The sequence below is a fragment of the Homo sapiens genome, chromosome 1 (genome assembly GCF_000001405.40).
Source record: "Homo sapiens chromosome 1, GRCh38.p14 Primary Assembly".
Taxonomy (NCBI): Eukaryota; Metazoa; Chordata; class Mammalia; order Primates; family Hominidae; genus Homo; species Homo sapiens.
Window position 1 is genome coordinate 6,646,965 of NC_000001.11, and position 18,689 is coordinate 6,665,653.

At 47.3% G+C, this 18,689-nt stretch overlaps 1 protein-coding gene across 2 annotated transcripts in view; it reads right to left on the reverse strand.

The window, feature by feature from the left end:
• Window positions 1-18,689, reverse strand: part of DNAJC11 (DnaJ heat shock protein family (Hsp40) member C11) — a 67,647-nt gene that overhangs the window by 12,795 nt on the left and 36,163 nt on the right. For both annotated transcript variants that reach the window (NM_018198.4, XM_047424842.1), the window contains 3 exons: window positions 6,947-7,075; window positions 5,865-5,987; window positions 4,565-4,638 (listed from right to left, as the gene is read on the reverse strand). In NM_018198.4, the coding sequence (NP_060668.2) occupies window positions 4,565-4,638; window positions 5,865-5,987; window positions 6,947-7,075 (326 nt within the window). The remainder of the gene's footprint in view (window positions 1-4,564; window positions 4,639-5,864; window positions 5,988-6,946; window positions 7,076-18,689) is intronic.

Consider the following 18,689-nt stretch of genomic DNA (forward strand, 5'->3'; position numbering starts at 1 on the left):
GACAACATGACAAAACCCCCATCTCTACAAAAAAGACACAAAATTAGCCAGGTGTAGCGGCACGCCCTGTAGTCTCAGCGACTGAGGAGGAAGGAGCACTTGAGCCTGGACAGGTCTTTTTTTTTTTTTTTTTTTTTTGACGGAGTTTCGCTCGTCCAGGCTGGAGTGCAGTAGCGTGATCTTCTCAGCTCACTGCAACCTCCGCCTCCTGGATTCAAGTGATTCTCCTGCCTCAGCTTCCTGGGTAGCTGGGACTACAGGCGCCCACCACCATGTCCGGTTAATATTTTGTATTTTTAGTAGAGATGGGGTTTCACCATGTTGGCCAGACTGGTCTCGAATTCCTGCCCCCAGGTGATCCACCTGCCTCAGCCTCCCAAAGTGCTGGGATTATAGGCACGAGCCACTGTGCCCAGCCAACAGGTCGATATTTTTGATTTAAGATGGCTTATTCGGCCGTAACTCCATCGTAAATCAAGGAACATCTGCAACTTGATCCAAGGATTAGAGGACCGTGGTTAGCAGACATCCATAACTAACCTGGCCACTATATATTAAGAAACTGGGCTAGTAGGCCGGGCGCGGTGGCTCACGCCTGTAATCCCAGCACTTTGGGAAGCCGAGGTGGGTGGATCACAAGGTCAAGTGATTGAGACCATCCTGGCCAACATGGTGAAACCCCGTCTCTAGTAAAAATACAAAAATTAGCTAGGCGTGGTGGCATGTGCCTGTAGTTCCAGTTACTTGGGAGGCTGAGGCAGAATAGCTTGAACCTGGGAGGTGGAGGTTGCAGTGAGCCAAGACTGCGCCACTGCACTCCAGCCTGGTGACAGAGCAAGACTCCGTCTCAAACACAAAACAAAACAAACAAAAAAAAGAAGCTGGCATCCTTGGTCACACATCACCCCCTTGTTTATAAATCAGTTGTCCTTCCGTTTAAATCTGCTCAAGTCTAATAAGCTCTGAGTAGTAAAACTAAATTCAATTTCCAAACCTGTAAATGCTGATGATCAGTCCACCCCAAACTCTTGGTGACCACTCAATGAATAGACACTGAGGCTCAACCAGAACAAAACGGCCAAAAGATTTTGCTTAATGAAGTGTCTCCCAAGCTTGTGTGACCTTAAGAATCACCTGGGGCGCTTGAAACACCTAGATTCCCAGTCCCCTCCCTCATAAGACCCAAAGCAGCTTTTTTTCTTTTTTTTGAGACAGAGTCTCGGCTCTGTCGCCCAGGCTGGAGTGCAGTGGCACGATCTTGGCTCACTGCAACCTCTGCCTCCCGGGTTCAGGCAATTCTCCTGCCTCAGCCTCCCAAGTAGCTGGAATTACAGGTGCCCACCACCACGCCTGGCTAATTTTTGTATTTTTAGTAGAGACAGGGTTTCACCATGTTGGCCAGGCTTGTCTTGAACTCCTGACCTCAGGCGACCCGCCTGCCTTGGCCTCCCAAAGTGTTGGGATTACAGGCATGAGCCACCGCACCTGACCAGCATTTCTTTTTTCTTTTGAGAGAGGGTCTTGCTCTGTCACCTAGGCTGAAGTGCAGTGGTGTCATCATGGCTCACTGCAGCCTCGACCTCCTGGCCTCAAGCGATCCTCCCACCTCAGCATCCCAAGTAGCTGGGATTACAGGTGTGTGCTACCACACCTGGTTAATTTTTATATTTTTTGTAGAGTCAAGGTTTTGCCATGTTGCCTAGGCTGGTCTCAAACTCCTGAGCTCAAGTGATCGTCTCACCTGGCCTCCTAAAGTGCTGGGATTACAAGCATGAGCCACCACACCCTGCCCCCGAGGCGGCTTTTAACCAGCATCTGGGGTGACCAATCTAAGTAGACAGGGTCAGGACAACACTGATGTGTATACAGATGCTGTTTCCCTGCTGTTCTCTTCTAAGTATGAATCCCGGTCCCCTTTGCAGACCCAGTAGGTGAATCCAATTACGTAGAGCAGGGGACTGTGGAGCTGTGTTGTGAGCAGCACCCAGGTGATGCCCCATGGCAGCATGTCCCACATTCCTTCCATCTTTTAAAAAAAATTTTTCTCGGTGGCAGTCTTGCTCTGTCGCCTAGGCTGGGGTACAGTGGTGCAATCTCAGCTCATTGCAGCCTCAACCTCCCGGGTTCAAGCAATCCTCCCACCTTGGCCTCCCAAAGCCCTGGGATTGCAGGTGTGAGTCACATCGGCTCCTTTTCCTCTTCTTGTGTCTGGAAGCACTGCTTTTTTTTTTTTGAGACAGAGTCGCCCAGGCTGGAGTGCAGTGGCGCGATCTCGGCTCACTGCAAGCTCCGCCTCCTGGGTTCACGCCATTCTCCTGCCTCAGCCTCCCGAGTAGCTGGGACTAAAGGCGCCCGCCACCGCTCCCGGCTAATTCTTTGCATTTTTAGTAGAGACAGAGTTTCACCGTGTTAGCCAGGATGGTCTCGATCTCCTGATCTCGTGATCCACCCGCCTCGGCCTCCTAAAGTGCTGGGATTAGAGGCATGAGCCACCGTGCTCAGCCAGGAAGCACTGCTTTGGTGCCTAAGCGGCCTCCGCCTGCCCCACAGGCCACGTCCTCCTGTTTCGCAGGCTCTCTCCCAACTTCTCCTGCTCTCCCTACAACAGGCTGACCTGCAAGCCTGCCTGTGTTCTCTGCCCCATGCCCCACAGACAAACGACCAGACTAGTGGGCAGGGATTAGGTCAACCCCTGCAGAGCGTGGCAGGCACACAGATACATGTCTCATTGGAAGTGTAATAACTAACTTTTTTTTTTTTTTTGAGACAGTCTTGCTCTGCTGCTTAGGCTGGAGTACAGTGGTGTGATCTTGGATCATTGCAACCTCCGCCTCCTGGGTTCAAGAGATCCTCCCACCTCAGCCTCCCAAGTAGCTGGGACTACAGGCAAGCGCCACCATGCCTGGTTAATTTTTATATTTTTAGTAGAGGGGGTTTCGCCATGTTGGCCAGGCTGGTCTCGAACTCCTGTACATGTTTGTACATGTTTGTACAGCCTACAATACATGTTTGATAAGAAAGTTATTCATGCCACTGTGCCTGGGCACAGTGGCTCACACCTGTAATGCCAGCACTTTGGGAGGCCAAGGTGGGAGGATCACCTGAGGTCAGGAGTTAAGAGACCAGCCTGGCCAACAAGGAGAAACCCCAACTCTACAAAAATTAGTCAGGCATGGTGGTGCACACCTGTAGTCCCAGCTACTCAGGAGGGTCACCTGAGCCTGGGAGGTTGAGGGTGCAGTGAGCCAAGATTGCATCACTATTCTCCAGCCGGGGTGACAAAGTGAGACCTGTCTCAAAACAAAAAACATATACTCCAGGCTTGCTGAAGTGGCTCATGCTTCTAATCTCAGTGCTTTGGGAGGCCAAGGTGGGAGGACTGCTTGAATCCAGGAGCTTGAGACCAGCCTAGGCAACATAGAGATAACTTATCCCTAAAAAAAACTAAACAATGAGCCAGGCATGTTGGCACACGCCTGTAGTCCTAGTTTTTCGGGAGGCTGAGGGAGGAGGACTGCTTGACCCCAGGAGTTCAAGGCTGCAGTGGACTATGATCGGACTATTGCACTCTAGCCTAGGCAACAGAACAAAACCTCGTCTCTAACAAAAATAAAGTAAAATAAAATAGGCCAGGCGTGGTGGCTCACGCCTGTAATCTCACCACTTTGGGAGGCCGAGGCAGGTGGATCACCTGAGGTCAGGAGTTCGAGACCAGCCTGACCAACATGGTGAAACCCCATCTCTATTAAAAATACAAAAATAGCTGGGTGTGGTGGCACACGCCTGTAGTCCCAGCTACTCGGAAGGTTGAGACAGGAGAATAGCTTGAACCCAGGAGGCAGAGGCTGCAGTGAGCCGAGATCACACCACCGCACTCCAGGCTGGGCAAGACAGAGCAAGACCCTGTCTCCAAAATAAATAAATAAATAAAATAAACTCCATGTGCTCCATTCTAGGACTCCTTCAGCTATATCTTCCTCTGGAAGAAAGAGGTATTATTTACCCTCCACCAATTCTTTTATCTGAGCTCACACAGACATCACTGCACCCACCATATAGGAAATGAAGACACTGCTGTCGTTCTAGAAGGGACAGGGATATACAGTTCTAGGAGTGTGACATGGCAGCAGCAGAGACGACAGGAAGCAGAGGCTGGCTGGGGACTACATCTCTGGCATATGTCAATCAACCCGATGATGAGGCAGTCTGTCATTCTCTGGGACAATGGAACGATCCATAAGTCTGTAAGTGTTTCGGTCCACTGACCAACTCTCCCTGAAGGCACTCTTTCTCCGTGGCCTTGTGGCATAGGTAAGGGAGGTGCGAGACCTGGATGGTGCAGCCTGGCCAGGGCTGGGACAAGGGTCCGGCCCCCTCAATCCTGCCTCTTCCCACCTGCACACTGCCTGGGCTTCACGCCAGTGCTATACCTGCCCTTGATGTACGCAGTGACCTTGTAGGACAGACAAGATAGTGCCAACCACTGTGATAAAAAGAACACACAGTTCTAGTCTCCTAAGCCAACAAAGACCACCAAAGAGGAGCTGCTGTCTCTCATATTTACCATCTTGGTGTGAGATTACGGAACAGCTTGAGACCGAACAAAGGCCCCTGTAGGTCTCCAGCTCCAAATTCCAACTGTTTGAAAAGGAAAAAGAGAAGGCATTAATGGTGTTTTATCTCATAGCAGCAACCCAGGCTCAGGTATGTACCTCTAGGTATAATTCCTTCATTCAATTCACTGGTCTTGCCAGGGCTCTAAAAGAAGGGGGTGGAAGATTGTTAATGTCTCATCTTAACCTTTGCCAAATGGAGCTGTCTGCTGCCACAGATCCAAAGGAGACCCAGGCTTCAAAGGCACATGTTTCATTGGTGTCCCTCCAAAGAAAAAACTGCTCCCCTCTGTTCCTTGCCTCCCAGGCTGAGGTCAGGAGACCAGCTGGCTCCCCCTACCCCTCCCGGCGCAGCCCCCCGCCACCTGCAGAGCACCGACTGCGGTCCGGTGTGCCCCCCACCCCCGCATGCACTGCCGACTCCTTTTCATTTTCATCCTGCGCCAAATGTCTCCCAGGTCACTGGGGCGGTCCTCAGGAGCCTGATGTTAAAGCCCAGCCGCGGTTCCACACCCGCACAGCCTTGGAAGTCACAGCTGAGCCTGGCTGCCGTGTTTACTAGTCTGGGTGACTTTCAAGCAACTCTTCAATGTTAATTTGATGCAGCTCAATTTGCTCGGCAGAACTGGCTGTTAAATGGCCACCAATCAGTGAACCATCACGCGGAAGAGAGCACCTGCCTTCTGAATTGTGCAGGAAAAAGAGCCCACAGGCTTTTTGCTCAAAGGGAACAAACACACGGAGTTTCAGAGGCTGGATTTCTAGAAGTTGGCATCTCATAGGAAACCTTGTTTTTCTATGCCAATTTTAAACTGTGAGGAAGACTGACAGGACTTCTCAGATATGAGACCTATTTATTTATTTATTTTTGAGACGGAATTTTGCTCTTGTCCCCCAGACTGGAGTGCAACGGCGCGATCTTGACTCGCTGCAACCTCTGCCTCCTGGGTTCATGTGATTCTCGTGATTCTCCTGCCTCAGCCTCCCAAGTAGCTGGGATTACAGGCAGGTGCCACCATGCCCAGCTAAGTTTTGTATTTTTAGTAGAGACGGGGTTTCACCATGTTGGCCAGGCTCATGAGACCTATTTTTCTTTTAGGACCAGTCAACTTATGGAAGCTTGACACTTGGTACCGTTCTTACACAACAACGGGGCCCCCAGGGTGAGTTTGAGGGTGAGCTTTGAGAGTGTAAATGTTCAGAAATAAGGCTTTGCACAGACAACACAACTCAGCCAATAGACATTCTTACCTCTCCCCATCCCTTTGCCGAAGTTACTCGTCTGAGCGCAAAGTTAATGGAACCTCCTCCATTTCCATTCTGGGTTGAGAGGCTTCCAGAGAGGATGGCTGTGTCTGTCGCTGTCAAGGGTGCCTAAAAATGGTATTTGCTGGTAATGAATGAATCAAAACAACAGGAAGTGCCAATGGCAGCAGCCTAAAGAACGCACTGTGAGCCCAAGGCCAAAGGTGCAGACGATTCCTCTGTTCAGAAGCACACATGGATGCAGAACTGCCGCAACAGCTTCACTTTTCTTCCGCTTTGTTATTTGGTCTGCATGTGACCACGAGGGTAATATGCTTTGCAAAAGCTTTAATGGGCACATTTCACAACACCAGGGGAAACATGGGGCTGCATGTCCCAATGGTATCAGATAGCACAGTGACTTCACTGTGTGCCTTCCCTCTGTGGTTTGCCATCAGGGTTCCAGGGGGACTGAAGACCTTCCCATGGCTGTATTCTGTATCAACTGACTCAGGGAGCTCCAAGAGGGGGCAAATTTCCCCAAGTTAGGACTCCACGTTGTTGGCTGATGCAATGGAGAATAAATTAATGAGCTGAGGAGACAAAGACCTACTATAAACGCTCAGGAGAATGACCTGACCTCGTCACATCCAAATAGTGGGCAGAATGGTGACATTTTCGCGTGCCCAGGGCTCAGGATGAGAGCTGCTATAGCCTTGCGGCACCTAGCAGAATTTGCCTTAAAACTAAAACTGGTTGTTAGAATGATCCATGGAGGTCTGCTTTCTCTCCCAGAACCCCATGACCTTGGGCCTCTACTTCTCCCAGACCATTAACACCCTCTGCTGGAAAGGCCCAAGACCTTGGGAGCCAAGTGCCCCAGCCCACACTCCTGCTGGCTCACATGCCAGCACAGCGGTAACACACGGCTGGGAATGAAGCGCTTTCTTTTTTAAGTGGCTAATTGCATCCTTTCATAAATAAAGATGAGAAAAACCCTGGGCAGACTCTCATTCCAGCTGCTTGGTGTGCTGTGCCTCATTAACTCGAGCCCTTGCTGTACTCGGAGAGGTGGTTGTGTGCTTTACCTCAATGGACTGGGATATGTGCATTTTATTAATTTCAATCTGCGGAAAGCTACTGCCGGACACATCTTCATACTCCTCATCATAGCGATCAAAAAGGTCGGTGGCATCTACTCCAACGCTGATCGTTCCCTGGGGCAGAAAAACAAGCCGTCAGCAGAACGGGTGGTATTTGTGGAATGAAAGACAATGCTACACTTCAACAGCCAGCTCGCTTTAATTGAACAAGTCATTTGACTTCAGGGTTCACTGGGTTTAGGTAGGACACTCCACCAGGAAGCCCACAAAGCATGAATGTCACAGTCCGAACCAAACTGCAGAGCACCACAGACGTCCAGAGCTAGAAAACATCATTTGACCAGGAGAGCCGGTCCGCATGTCTGCAGAGCAATGACACGCCAAAGACAAAAGTGTTAGTCAAAGGAGTAAGAGCTAGACAGTTTGATTTTCAGAGACCAAACAGGACCCAAGAATGCACAAAACCACCTAGAAATGAGCTACATGGATTAAACATTTTTTGGTAAACAACCTTATACCACAAAACTACCCTAAAACTCTTTAAATAAAAATACCTTCAAAGATAAAGCAGCACAAATTATGAACAAATGGGAGACTTTAAAATTAATCCACCTTCTCAAATTAATGAGAATTAAGTTTGAGAAACAGAACACTGTATTTGCTCAAGGAATTCTAAGCTAAAATTTTGCTGATAAAAATGCTTGTTACTCAGAAAATCAATGTTTATTATTCTTTGATAGTCACAACTTTAAAAACGGACATTATCTTAATCCAGTATATAAAACCATGGCCACACACATTTTTTTAACTAAACTTTTTGCAGCCCATTGAAACAATGTTTTTTTGCTAGCTTTTCTTTTTTTTTTTTTTTTGAGATGGAGTCTCGCTCTGTCACCAGGCAACATTAGCCATTAGTCCAGTGCAGTGCAGTGGCACGATCTTGGCTCACTGCAACCTCCGCCTCCTGGGTTCAAGCGATTCTCCTGCCTTAGTCTCCCGAGTAGCTGGGACTACAGGCGCACGCCACCATGCCCAGTTAATTTTTGTATTTTTAGTAGAGACAGGGTTTCACCATGTTGACCAGGATGGTCTCGATCTCTTGACCTCATGATCCACTCGCCTCGGCCTCCCAAAGTGCTGAGATTACAGGTGTGAGCCACCGCGCCCAGCTGGTGCTAGCTTTCTATCAGATGCTTCAATCTGAAAATGCATTAACCCTAATAATTACTTGATTTCTGTTGAGGGTGAAACACCTGACATTATGAATGCTACTATAAACTCAATCAAAAAGTTCCACATTAAAGGTAAACGTGTTTGTTTTTGCGGTGATATTCAAATACCAACTTGGAGGCAGTATAGTGTTATGGTAAAAAATTTTCTTATTAAATCAAGAAACCCATGGACTAGAAACATCCTTAGAATTAGTTGTAGTGATACGCATAATGCATAATTGTGTCAAAACAAGCTGTGGTATTCTACCCATGGAAAATGAAGTTGTAGTTGCCAAAATTTACAAATTTTTTATATTCACAGAGTAACAGCATGAACACATCTCTGTCATGATGATGATTCTGAATAATCAACAAAACTGCATGGCAGTATATGAACAATCTGTGGCCAGGTGTGGTGGCTAATACCCGTAATCCCAACACTTTGGGAGGCTGAGGGAGTGGGATCACCTGAGGTCAGGAGTTCGAGACCAGCCTGGCCAACGTGGTAGAAACCCTGTTGCTACTAAAAATACAAAAATTAGCCAGGTACACGTCCCAGCTACTCTAGAGGCTGAGGCAGGAGAACTGCTTGAACCTGAAAGGTGGAGGTTTCAGTGAGCCAAGATTGCGCCACTGCACTCCAGCATGGGTGACAGAGCAAGACTCTGTCTCAAAAACAAGAACAGGCCGGGTGTGGTGGCTCATGCCTGTAATCCCAGCACTTTGGGAGGCCGAGGCAGGCGGCTCACGAAGTCAGGAGTTTGAGACCAACATGACCAACATGGTGAAACCCCATCTCTACTAAAAATACAAAAATTAGCCGGGCGTGGTGGTGCGCACCTATAATCCCAGCTCCTCAGGAGGCTGAGGCAGGAGAATTGCTTCAACTTGTGAGGCAGAGGTTGCAGTGAGCCAAGATTGTGCCACTGCACTCCAGCCTGGGCAACAGAACAAGACTCCGTCTAAAAAAAAAAAAAAAAAAAAAATTACAATCACTGAAAATAAAGCTTGTAATGAAAAATAATCTGAAGCTGATCTTTTTAGGGGGAAAAAAACCATACAAAATAAATAAGAGTTTATGAGATATAATGAGATACAATTTTGAAATTCCATAACGGCATTTTGGAGTATCTTTATTTTGTGTAGGAATCTTGGTGGAGCTGTCATGTTTAATTAGGTAAATTTATATTCTGTTCAAGAATGAAATGGAATTGAAAAGGTCTACAGTTTTATAGCATCTAAATTTGATAAAACATTCAAAAGATCATAAATAAAGATGATTTAGAAAAATGTGTCAAAGAAAACTGTTGTGAATAAAGTTAAAAAGACAATACCTGTCAAAATACTTGGGCCAAGATATTTTTATGTTCTAATATGAAGAAATTTAGAATTGAGAGAATATTTTCTAAATTAAAAATATGATATACAGAGATGAATCAATTAAATGTGTCAAAAATTTCAGCTGAGTGCTGTGGCTCACTCCTGCAATCCCAGTACTTTGGGAGGCTGAGGTGGAGGGATTGCTTGAGCCCAGGAGTTCGAGACCAGCCTAGGCAACATGTTGAGACTCTGTCTCCACAAAAAAAACTAAAACCAAAAAAAAAAAAAAAAAGTTTAGCTGGGAGTGGTGGTATCCGCCTGTGGTCCCAGTCACCTAGGAGACTGGGAGGATTCCACTGGGAGGTGGGAGGATTCCTTGAGCCCAGGAGGCCAAGGCTGCAGTGAGCTGTGACTGTATCACTGCACTCTAGCCTGGGTGATAGTATGAGACCCTATCTCAAAGTAAAATATAACTTGCTAAATATAAATGCAACTTTCATAAAGATGGTAGGCAATGTTATAAAAGAAAAAGACACAGGAAATACACTCTTCAAAAAATAGTGTGACACACTGTGGAAGTCAGATCAAAGGCCTCCTAAGGAACCATGCCTGCGGGTACTCACACCCTTGTACAGAGCCCTCTCCTTGATCCTGAACCTCTCAGGTTCACAAAAGCAACTCTCAGACTTGCTTTTGTCCAACAGAATGCGTGGATGTGATGGTGCTGACTTCAAGACCAGCTCACGAGAAGCCTTGCAGCTTGGCCCAGGTCTCTAAAATGCACTATCTGGGGGACACTAGCTAATACGTATTAAGTCCAACTACCCAGAGACTGCTGTTGGCAAGGAAGCCTGAGCTGGCCCGGGGAGAGGTTGCCTAGAGAGACAGCGATGCCAGCCACCTCCGCTGAGGTGTGTGAGACATGAATGCAGAAGCCACTGCTGACATGCAGACCAGCCAGCCTTCTGAGGATGAGACCCAGCTGCCATCTGACTGCAACCCCTGTGAGCACCATCCCATCACAGTCAAGTCCCAGCCAATCCACAGAACTGTGAGACAGTATGGAATTATTGTTGGAAGCCACCAAGTTTGGAAATGGTTATACAGCAGCACATAATCAGACCACTGATACTGGAGATAGACAGGGTTGGTGAACAGACTAAAGTCTGTAGATACATGCCCCAAATAATGATTCCTACTCTTTTTGAGATGGAGTCTTGCTCTGTCGCCTGGGCTGGAGTGCAGTGGCACGATCTCGGCTCGCTGCAAGCTCTGCCTCCTGGGTTCACGCCATTCTCCTGCCTCAGCCTCCCGAGTAGCTGGGACTACAGGCGCCTGCCACCACGCCCGGCTAATTTTTTTGTATTTTTAGTAGAGACGGGGTTTCACCGTGTTAGCCAGGATGGTCTCGATCTCCTGACCTCGTGATCTGCCCACCTTGGCCTCCCAAAGTGCTGGGATTACAGGCGTGAGCCCCCATGCCCAGCCAGACTCTGGGATTTAAAGATAACCAAGTGAAAATAGGTTTATCAGCTAACTTATGTTTCAAATCCTGTGTTGTCATTTCAACAGTGATCACAGAATCTTCACCAGGACTAGGTTCCATCTCAAGAAACCACCATTTCTGTGCATCGATACTCCTCATCTGCTCCAGCTTGATCGTGAGATTGCAGCAATGGAGTGACACCTTCAGACGGGATCTGGGGACTGAGGGCTCCGGGATGCCACTGAGATCAGAATGAGTGACACAATACCTGAAGCGTCTAATGAAACTGGGAGGAACGTTTCAGCTCTGACAAGAGAGTCTGGAGATGACTTTGTGACAGATTTACAGAAAACTAATCAAAGGAAACGAATGAGACAATTACTAATAACACAGAGGAAAAAGTGTTAAGAAAGGCTAGGTAATCCTGGTATATGATCTGGGTCAACTGAGTAATTATATGGTCACCGCAATGTATATAGTGAATATTAATGTAATCCAATTATAATTACACTGGGTAGACTGAAAACTGAAGAAACTGAGAGAACCATGTAAACATGACAGAAGAAACAGCTCCAAGAGCTGGGAGTGGCTGCCTTAAGGGAACAGGAGTCAGGAGTAGAAAGCGGGGAGCGGCAGGGCTTTTCTTTATAAGTCTAGTAAATACCTGACTTTTGAACCTTGTACACATATTACTCTGACAAAAAAAATTGAAAAAAAAAATTCCCCATATCTTAAGGACTTCCAAACAAAAAGCTATCTAAAAACTTACTTTATAGAGAAATTCTTTATAGGCCTATTTTTAAATTAGTAGAGTTCTTGTGTCCGTAAACCTCAGCTGCTTCTCCCTTGGGAGGAACCAACATAACCATATGACATCAATACTCACAGGCCAACTGCTGCCCCCCTGGCCAGCAGATGTCATCAATGGCCCCTATAATTCCTGATCCAAGTTAATACAGCCCAGATAGGAGCAATGCCTGCCGGCCCTGGGTCTAGTCCTGCACTGGCTCTGCAAATAGTCTGTAAGACTTAGTTTTTATTTAAATTACATACACATCCCACCCACTGCTACCTGTTGGAAGACAGAGGTCCTCATCACATTGTGTTCATGACTAGACAGTGGATCAAAGCAGTTTCCATGAGTCCCCAGCAGCCCAACTTGCTCAATGTTCCTTATATTAACCCCAAATCATCTCCCAGTAACACTGACTTGTTGCTATTGGTTCTTGTCTCTTGAACCATCACACATTAAGCCTGGTCCCTATTTCACATTGGGGAAATGGAATGTCTTCAACTCCTACTAATGTCTTCAACTCCTACTAATGTCTTCTCTCATCGTTCCAGACACACTGGCCTCTTTGCTGTTCCTTGAACATACCAGATTCACCTCTCCATTTTGGCCTCTGCGTTGGCTCTGCCCTCTATCTGCAACACTCTTCACCAGATGGCCACGTGGCTAACTTTGTCATCTGCTTCCCATCCTTCCTCCAGTGGCACCTTTTCAGTGAAGCCTGACTACTCTAATTAAAACTGCAGGCTGGGCATGGTGGCTCACACCTGTAATCACAGCGCTCTGGGAGGCCGCGGCGGGTGGATCACCTGAGGTCAGGAGTTTGAGACCAGCCTGGCCAATATAGTAAAACCTCGTCTCTACTAAAAACACAAAAACATGAGCCGGGCATGGTGGCATGCACCTGTAGTCCCAGCTACTCGGAGGCTGAGGCAGAAGAATTGCTTGAATCCAGGAGGTGGAGGTTACACTGAGCCAGGACAGTGCCACTGCACTCCAGCCAGGGCAACAAGAGTGAAACTCTGTCTCAAAAACAATACCAAGGCCGGGCACGGTGGCTCACGCCTGTAATCCCAGCACTTTGGGAGGCTGAGGCGGGCAGATCACGAGGTCAGGAGATCGAAACCATCCTGGCTAACAAGGTGAAACCCCGCCTCTACTAAAAATACAAAAATTAGCTGGGCGTGGTGGCAGGCGCCTGGAGTTCCAGCTACTCGGGAGGCTGAGGCAGGAGAATGGCATGAACCCGGGAGGCGGAGCTTGCAGTGAGCCGAGATTGCGCCACTGCACTCCAGCCTGGGCAACAGAGCAAGACTCTGTCTCAAAAACAAAAAAAAAAACCAAAATCAAAACAAAAAAACTGCAGCCTTCCCCACTTCCTTCGCTTTATGTACCCCCCACATCATTTCTCTCTCCTTCTAATATATAATTTTTTTTTTTTTGAGACAGAATCTCACTCTGTTGCCCAGGCTGGAGTGCAGTGGCGAGATCTCAGCTCACTGCAACCTCTGCCTCCCAGGTTCAAGTGATTCTCCTGCCTTAGCCTCCCAAATAGCTGTGACTACAGGAGCACGTCACCAAGCCCGGCTAATTTTTGTATTTTTAGTAGAGACGCGGTTTTGCCATGTTGGCCAGGCTGGTCTTGAACTCCTGACCTAGATGATCTGCCTGCCTCGGCCTGCCCAAGTGCTGGGATTACAGGCATGAGCCACCACGCCCAGTCTTAATATATAATTTATATATTGCATTTACTGCAGCTTCTCTGTCCCTCAACTAGATTATTCAGCTTCATGGCAGGATTAGGTTGTCTGTTTTATTCTCTGCGGAATGTTCACATTCCTAAAGTGTCTGGCACATTACAGGCACCCAAATTAAATTACTTTGCGAATAAATCAACCATTTTTACCCACCTCCAACCCACAAAATTGCTAATATTAAACCAAGTCAACGAAAGATGACCATTTTCCCTGATTCCCCCCTTTCGTAGCTAGCACATTTCTCCCTGTTAAATGTTATTTTGCAGTTTAATCCCTTCATTCTTGTTCACTGGGCTCTTTTAGAACCTTCTGCCTTGGGTCAACTGTGAATGTGATAAACACGTCTTCACTGACATCACTCAGAAATTCTGAGCCTGAGTTACAGCCTTTCTCCCACAATGAGAAACTTCTTACCAGGTAGGAAATGATGTATTTGTACTCGTTGAGTAGAATCAGTTGTTTATTCAGCCAGGAATGTACCATTCTAAATTCTTTATTTTTTGGTTTCAAATCTTCTTAAAAACATGTAAAACATTTAACTGACAAATAGAGACTGCACACGTGCCAGGTGTACAGTGTGCTGATTTGATCCACGCAGACACTGTGTAGTGATGGTCACAATCACGTTAACACATTCACCACCACCCAGGTGGAATGATTTTCATGTTTATATTTATCTGGCCATGAGGGTAACATAAGAAATTTCTGTCAACTGCAATCTCAAAAGGAACTCTTTACTAACTGAAAATTCCACCAAAAGAGGTGATACGAGGCAATGTGAAATTCACCTGTTTTATAACTGGTGAACCCAGCATGGCACTCATGACGCTTCCCACAGAATCACTTTATCTCAAATGGAAGTCAGAGCCTGTCCTCCCCGTATAAACAGTAGTCTTTAATTCTGAAACCTTGTTTGTGAGCGATTATGCTGACATGAGGGGGTGAAAACAGCCCTCCGACGGATACTCATTTCAAGACAAACAGCTGTTTTACCTTTGAATCCCTCTATGCCTTCTATCCCGATTGCCAAGACCACTCTTCTTCTCCAGGGTTTCAGTTTCATTATCACAGTGCTTTCCCAGACCTGATTAACCAGGCTCTGGTCCCTTTTCTCCTTACAAGACAACTTCTCACGTTCTCCAATTGCAACAGCAGCCCATTTCTGCAGACGGTAAATTGCCCCTTCCTGCCACTACGCACAACAAACATATGGCTTAAACAACCCTTCTTCTGCCCCATCATCCTCTCAGCCAAGTCCAGGCAGTTTCATGACATCAGAATCACTTCTGCAGAACAGACTGAAGTCATAACCATGGGCGACTTTGCTGGCTACGGTTATTAGCCAGGGCAACCCCAACATCCTTTAAAAATAATCAAGTGATGCACGCTTACATCTTTATGAAAACATTTTGGCATTTAAAAATATTTTTATGGTTACATGCCTTCCTTGATACGTTATTCAGATGGGGTCTCTCTCTGTCACCCAGGCTGGAGTACATCTTGAAGGCTGGAGCCAGGCTGGCACGATCCTGGCTTACTGCAACCTCCACCTCCAGGGCTCAAGCATTCCTCCTGCCTCAGCCTCCCGAGTAGCTGGGACTACAGGAGCACGCCACCATGCCCAGTTAATTGTTTTTTGTTTTTTGTTTTTTTTTTTTGTAGAGATAGGATTTCACCATGTTGCCCAGGCTCTTGCTACATTATTTTTATTTATTTATTTAGAAACGGAGTCTTGAGCTTGTTGCTCAGGCTGGAGTGCAGTGGCGCGATCTCGGCTCACTGCAACCCCCGCCTCCCAGGTTCAAGTGATTCTCCTGCTTCAGCCTCCCAAGCAGCTTGGATTACAGGCGCCTGCCACCACGCCTGGCTAATTTTTGTATTTTTAGTAGAGATGGGGTTTCACCATGTTGGTCAGGCTGGTCTCAAACTCCTGACCTCAGATGATCCACCCACCTCAGCCTCCCAAAGTGTTGGTGAGAGGTGAAGCCAGCTGGACTTCCTGGGTCAGGTGGGGACTTGGAGAACTTTTCTGTCTTACAAATGTTACCAATCAGCACTCTGTAAAAACGCACCAATCAGCGCTCTGTCGCTAGAGGGTTGTAAATGTACCAATCAGCACTCTGTAAAAACGCACCAATCAGTGCTCTGTGGCTAGCTAGAGGATTGTAAATGCACCAATCAGCTCGCTGTAAAAAGCACCAATTAGTGCTCTGTGGCTAGCTAGAGTATTGTAAGTGCACTAATCAGCACTCTGTAAATGGACCAACCGGCACTCTGTAAAATGGACCAATCAGCAGGACATAGGCAGGGACAAATAAGGGAATAAAAGCTGGCCACCCCAGCCAGCAACAACCTGCTCGGGTCCCCTTCCACACTGTGGAAGCTTTGTTATTTTGCTCTCCACAATAAATCTTGCTGCTGCTCACTCTGGGTCCGCACCACCTTTAAGGTAACACTCACCGCGAAGGTCCATGGCTTCATTGTTGAAGTCAGTGAGACCATGAACCCACCAAAAGGAATGAACTCTGGACATATTGGGATTACAGGTGTGAGCCCCCATGCCTGGCCGATACATCATTTACATTTTTTTCTAATAAAGCTGAATTGTGTCTCTCAGCTATTACACAAACCATGCTGATGATGGAGTTTTCTAGATCAGAGAGGTCTTGCCAAAGAGTGTATATCAACCTCTGTAATAGCAAAAATGGCCAGGAAATAATGTAAATCTCCATCAAACTATTTTGTCATAGGGTCAAAAAAACTAAAGCAATATATGCCCGCAGAGACAGTCAAACTCCTTTGCCCCCACACCCCCAAACAAACCTAACTTAATCATCTGCTCCACACAGGATCTAAACAAGATCACGAAGGAGGCAGCAATGAAGTCGGACAAGCTGCCTGGGATCAAGTTGCCTTCTAAATATGCTCAAAGTGGCTGCCCTCCACAGAGGGAGAAGATTTATGGGTATTAAGGAAAAAAGGAATTAAAATAATCAATACGAAGTGAATACAACACAGAACGACACTGTTACATGATCTTAAGTCCTTAAAATGCAAGAAATGCGGATGGATTATGCAAATAAAACAGAAATCCGAAGATGGCAGGAGGATGCCCAGGGTGGTCCAGTCAGGTCTAGTTTCGCATACTGCTCTCAGGTATGAACCCACGTCCTGCCCAGCCACCAATTCTCTCCCTGACGCCAGTTCAATGTGGAGGGCCCTAAAGACACTGGGACCCCAGCAACCCAAGGGTGGCTTTTTCCAGCAGGACATACAGACAGGAATTTACTCCCACAGGGCAAAGCAAAGGCAGAAAACAGGTGATTAGAGCTAAGGACTGTGGGGTCCAAAGACTCAACCCAGAAAGCGGGCCTCCCATTTCATGGAGGCAGAAACTGGACTAAGAATGCAGAAGGGACTTGATCAAGGGCACAGACAGGAAGGTGGAATCTGAGTCTGGACGCAGGGCCCTGGACACCAAGTCCAAGGCTCTCCCATGCTGCCTCCCATGGATGTGCCTGTGTTCCTGCATGTGTGTGTGTGTGTGCATGCACGTGTTTCATCAGCTGGAGCCAGCAGGCAAAGTGGACACACGCCGGGGCTGGGGATTTTACACGTTCCTTCCTGGGCACCATGGTGCCTGGTAAGGCACATTCCACACTAGTCCATATCACAGTCAGCCATACTGCAAACAGCACCGGGCCTGGCCCCAGGCAAAGGCTGCAAGAATGGTTCGAAGGCCATTTTCTTTCTTTTTTTTTTTTTTTTGAGACAGAGTCTCACTCTGTGGCCCAGGCTGGAGTGCAGTGGTGCGATCTCAGCTCACTGCAAGCTCTGCCTCCTGGGTTCACGCCATTCTCCTACTTCAGCCTCCTGAGTAGCTGGGACTACAGGCGCCTGCCACCACACCCGGCTAATTTTTGTATTTTTAGTAGAGACAGGGTTTCACCGTGTTAGCCAGGATGGTCTCGATCTCCTGACCTCGTAATCCACCTGCCTCGGCCTCCCAAAGTGCTGGGATTACAAGCGTGAGCCACTGCGCCCGGCCTCAAGGGCCATTTACAAATCCCAACTCACAGGTCCCACCATTCCTGACCAAGCCAAGAATTTCCTCCTCAGTGTTGAATGAAACACCACCACCACATTTAGTTCTGAACGTCATTTTGGTACCAGTACCACTTTGCATTTATATAGCAAGATTATCTTTCCCTAATAAATTAACATCTATTTCATGTGTTTTCAGTCTTTTCACAACTTGGCACAGTAGTCAGGACAGACGTCCTCATTTTACAGAAGAGAAAAGGGAGCACTGTCAAACGGCTCACTCTGTGTCCTGCCTCCTGCTGGCAGCTGTACCTTCTAACCTGGGCTTTTCCTCACTAGGCCTTTTTGCTTGGTAGATACATCAATCTACTGGAAATCCCTACCTAATCTGCTCTTATTGACGAAAACAGAGAGAAATATGCACCCGCGTTTCAGGCGGCAATATCACGCACGGGATACAGCCTGCAAACCCCTCTGAGCTGAGGTCCTCTGTGGGGGGTCCAGCTGACAGGTTGACCTCTAAGTCATCAAAAGTGTCCTTCTGTTTTTGTTTAAGACAGGACCTTGCTCTGTTGCCCAGCTGGAGTGCAGTGGTGCAATCACGGCTCACTGCAACCTTGAACTCCTGGGCTCGGGCAACCCTCCTTCGTCTGCCTCCCAAGTAGCCTGGACTACAGGTATGTGCCACTGTGCTCAGCTAATTTGTAAATATTTTGTAGAGATGGGGGTCTTGTTATATTGCACAGGCTGGTCTCAAACTCCTGAACTCAAGCAATCCTCCTGCCTTGGCCTCCCAAAGTGCTGGGATTACAGGCATGCACCACCACGCCCATCCTCCATGGTCTCCTTAAAGCAGAGATCACCCCTTTCTTCTCAGGACAAGGATGTTTGCTCATCTTGAAAGGCAAAAAAACCCCTCAGAAATGGAAAGAAAGATATACCTCAAATCCTCTCCTTAAAATGCTGGACAGCCAACATCTGGTTATCACTCAATATTTCTGATTAGAAAATGTTTTATGTATTTGGAAGCAGTTTTATGGAAGTAGCAAAGTATAGGACATTTTAAAAATCACTTGCATGCCTGTGTGAGATGGTCACAGCTGTGCTCCCTCATTCCACA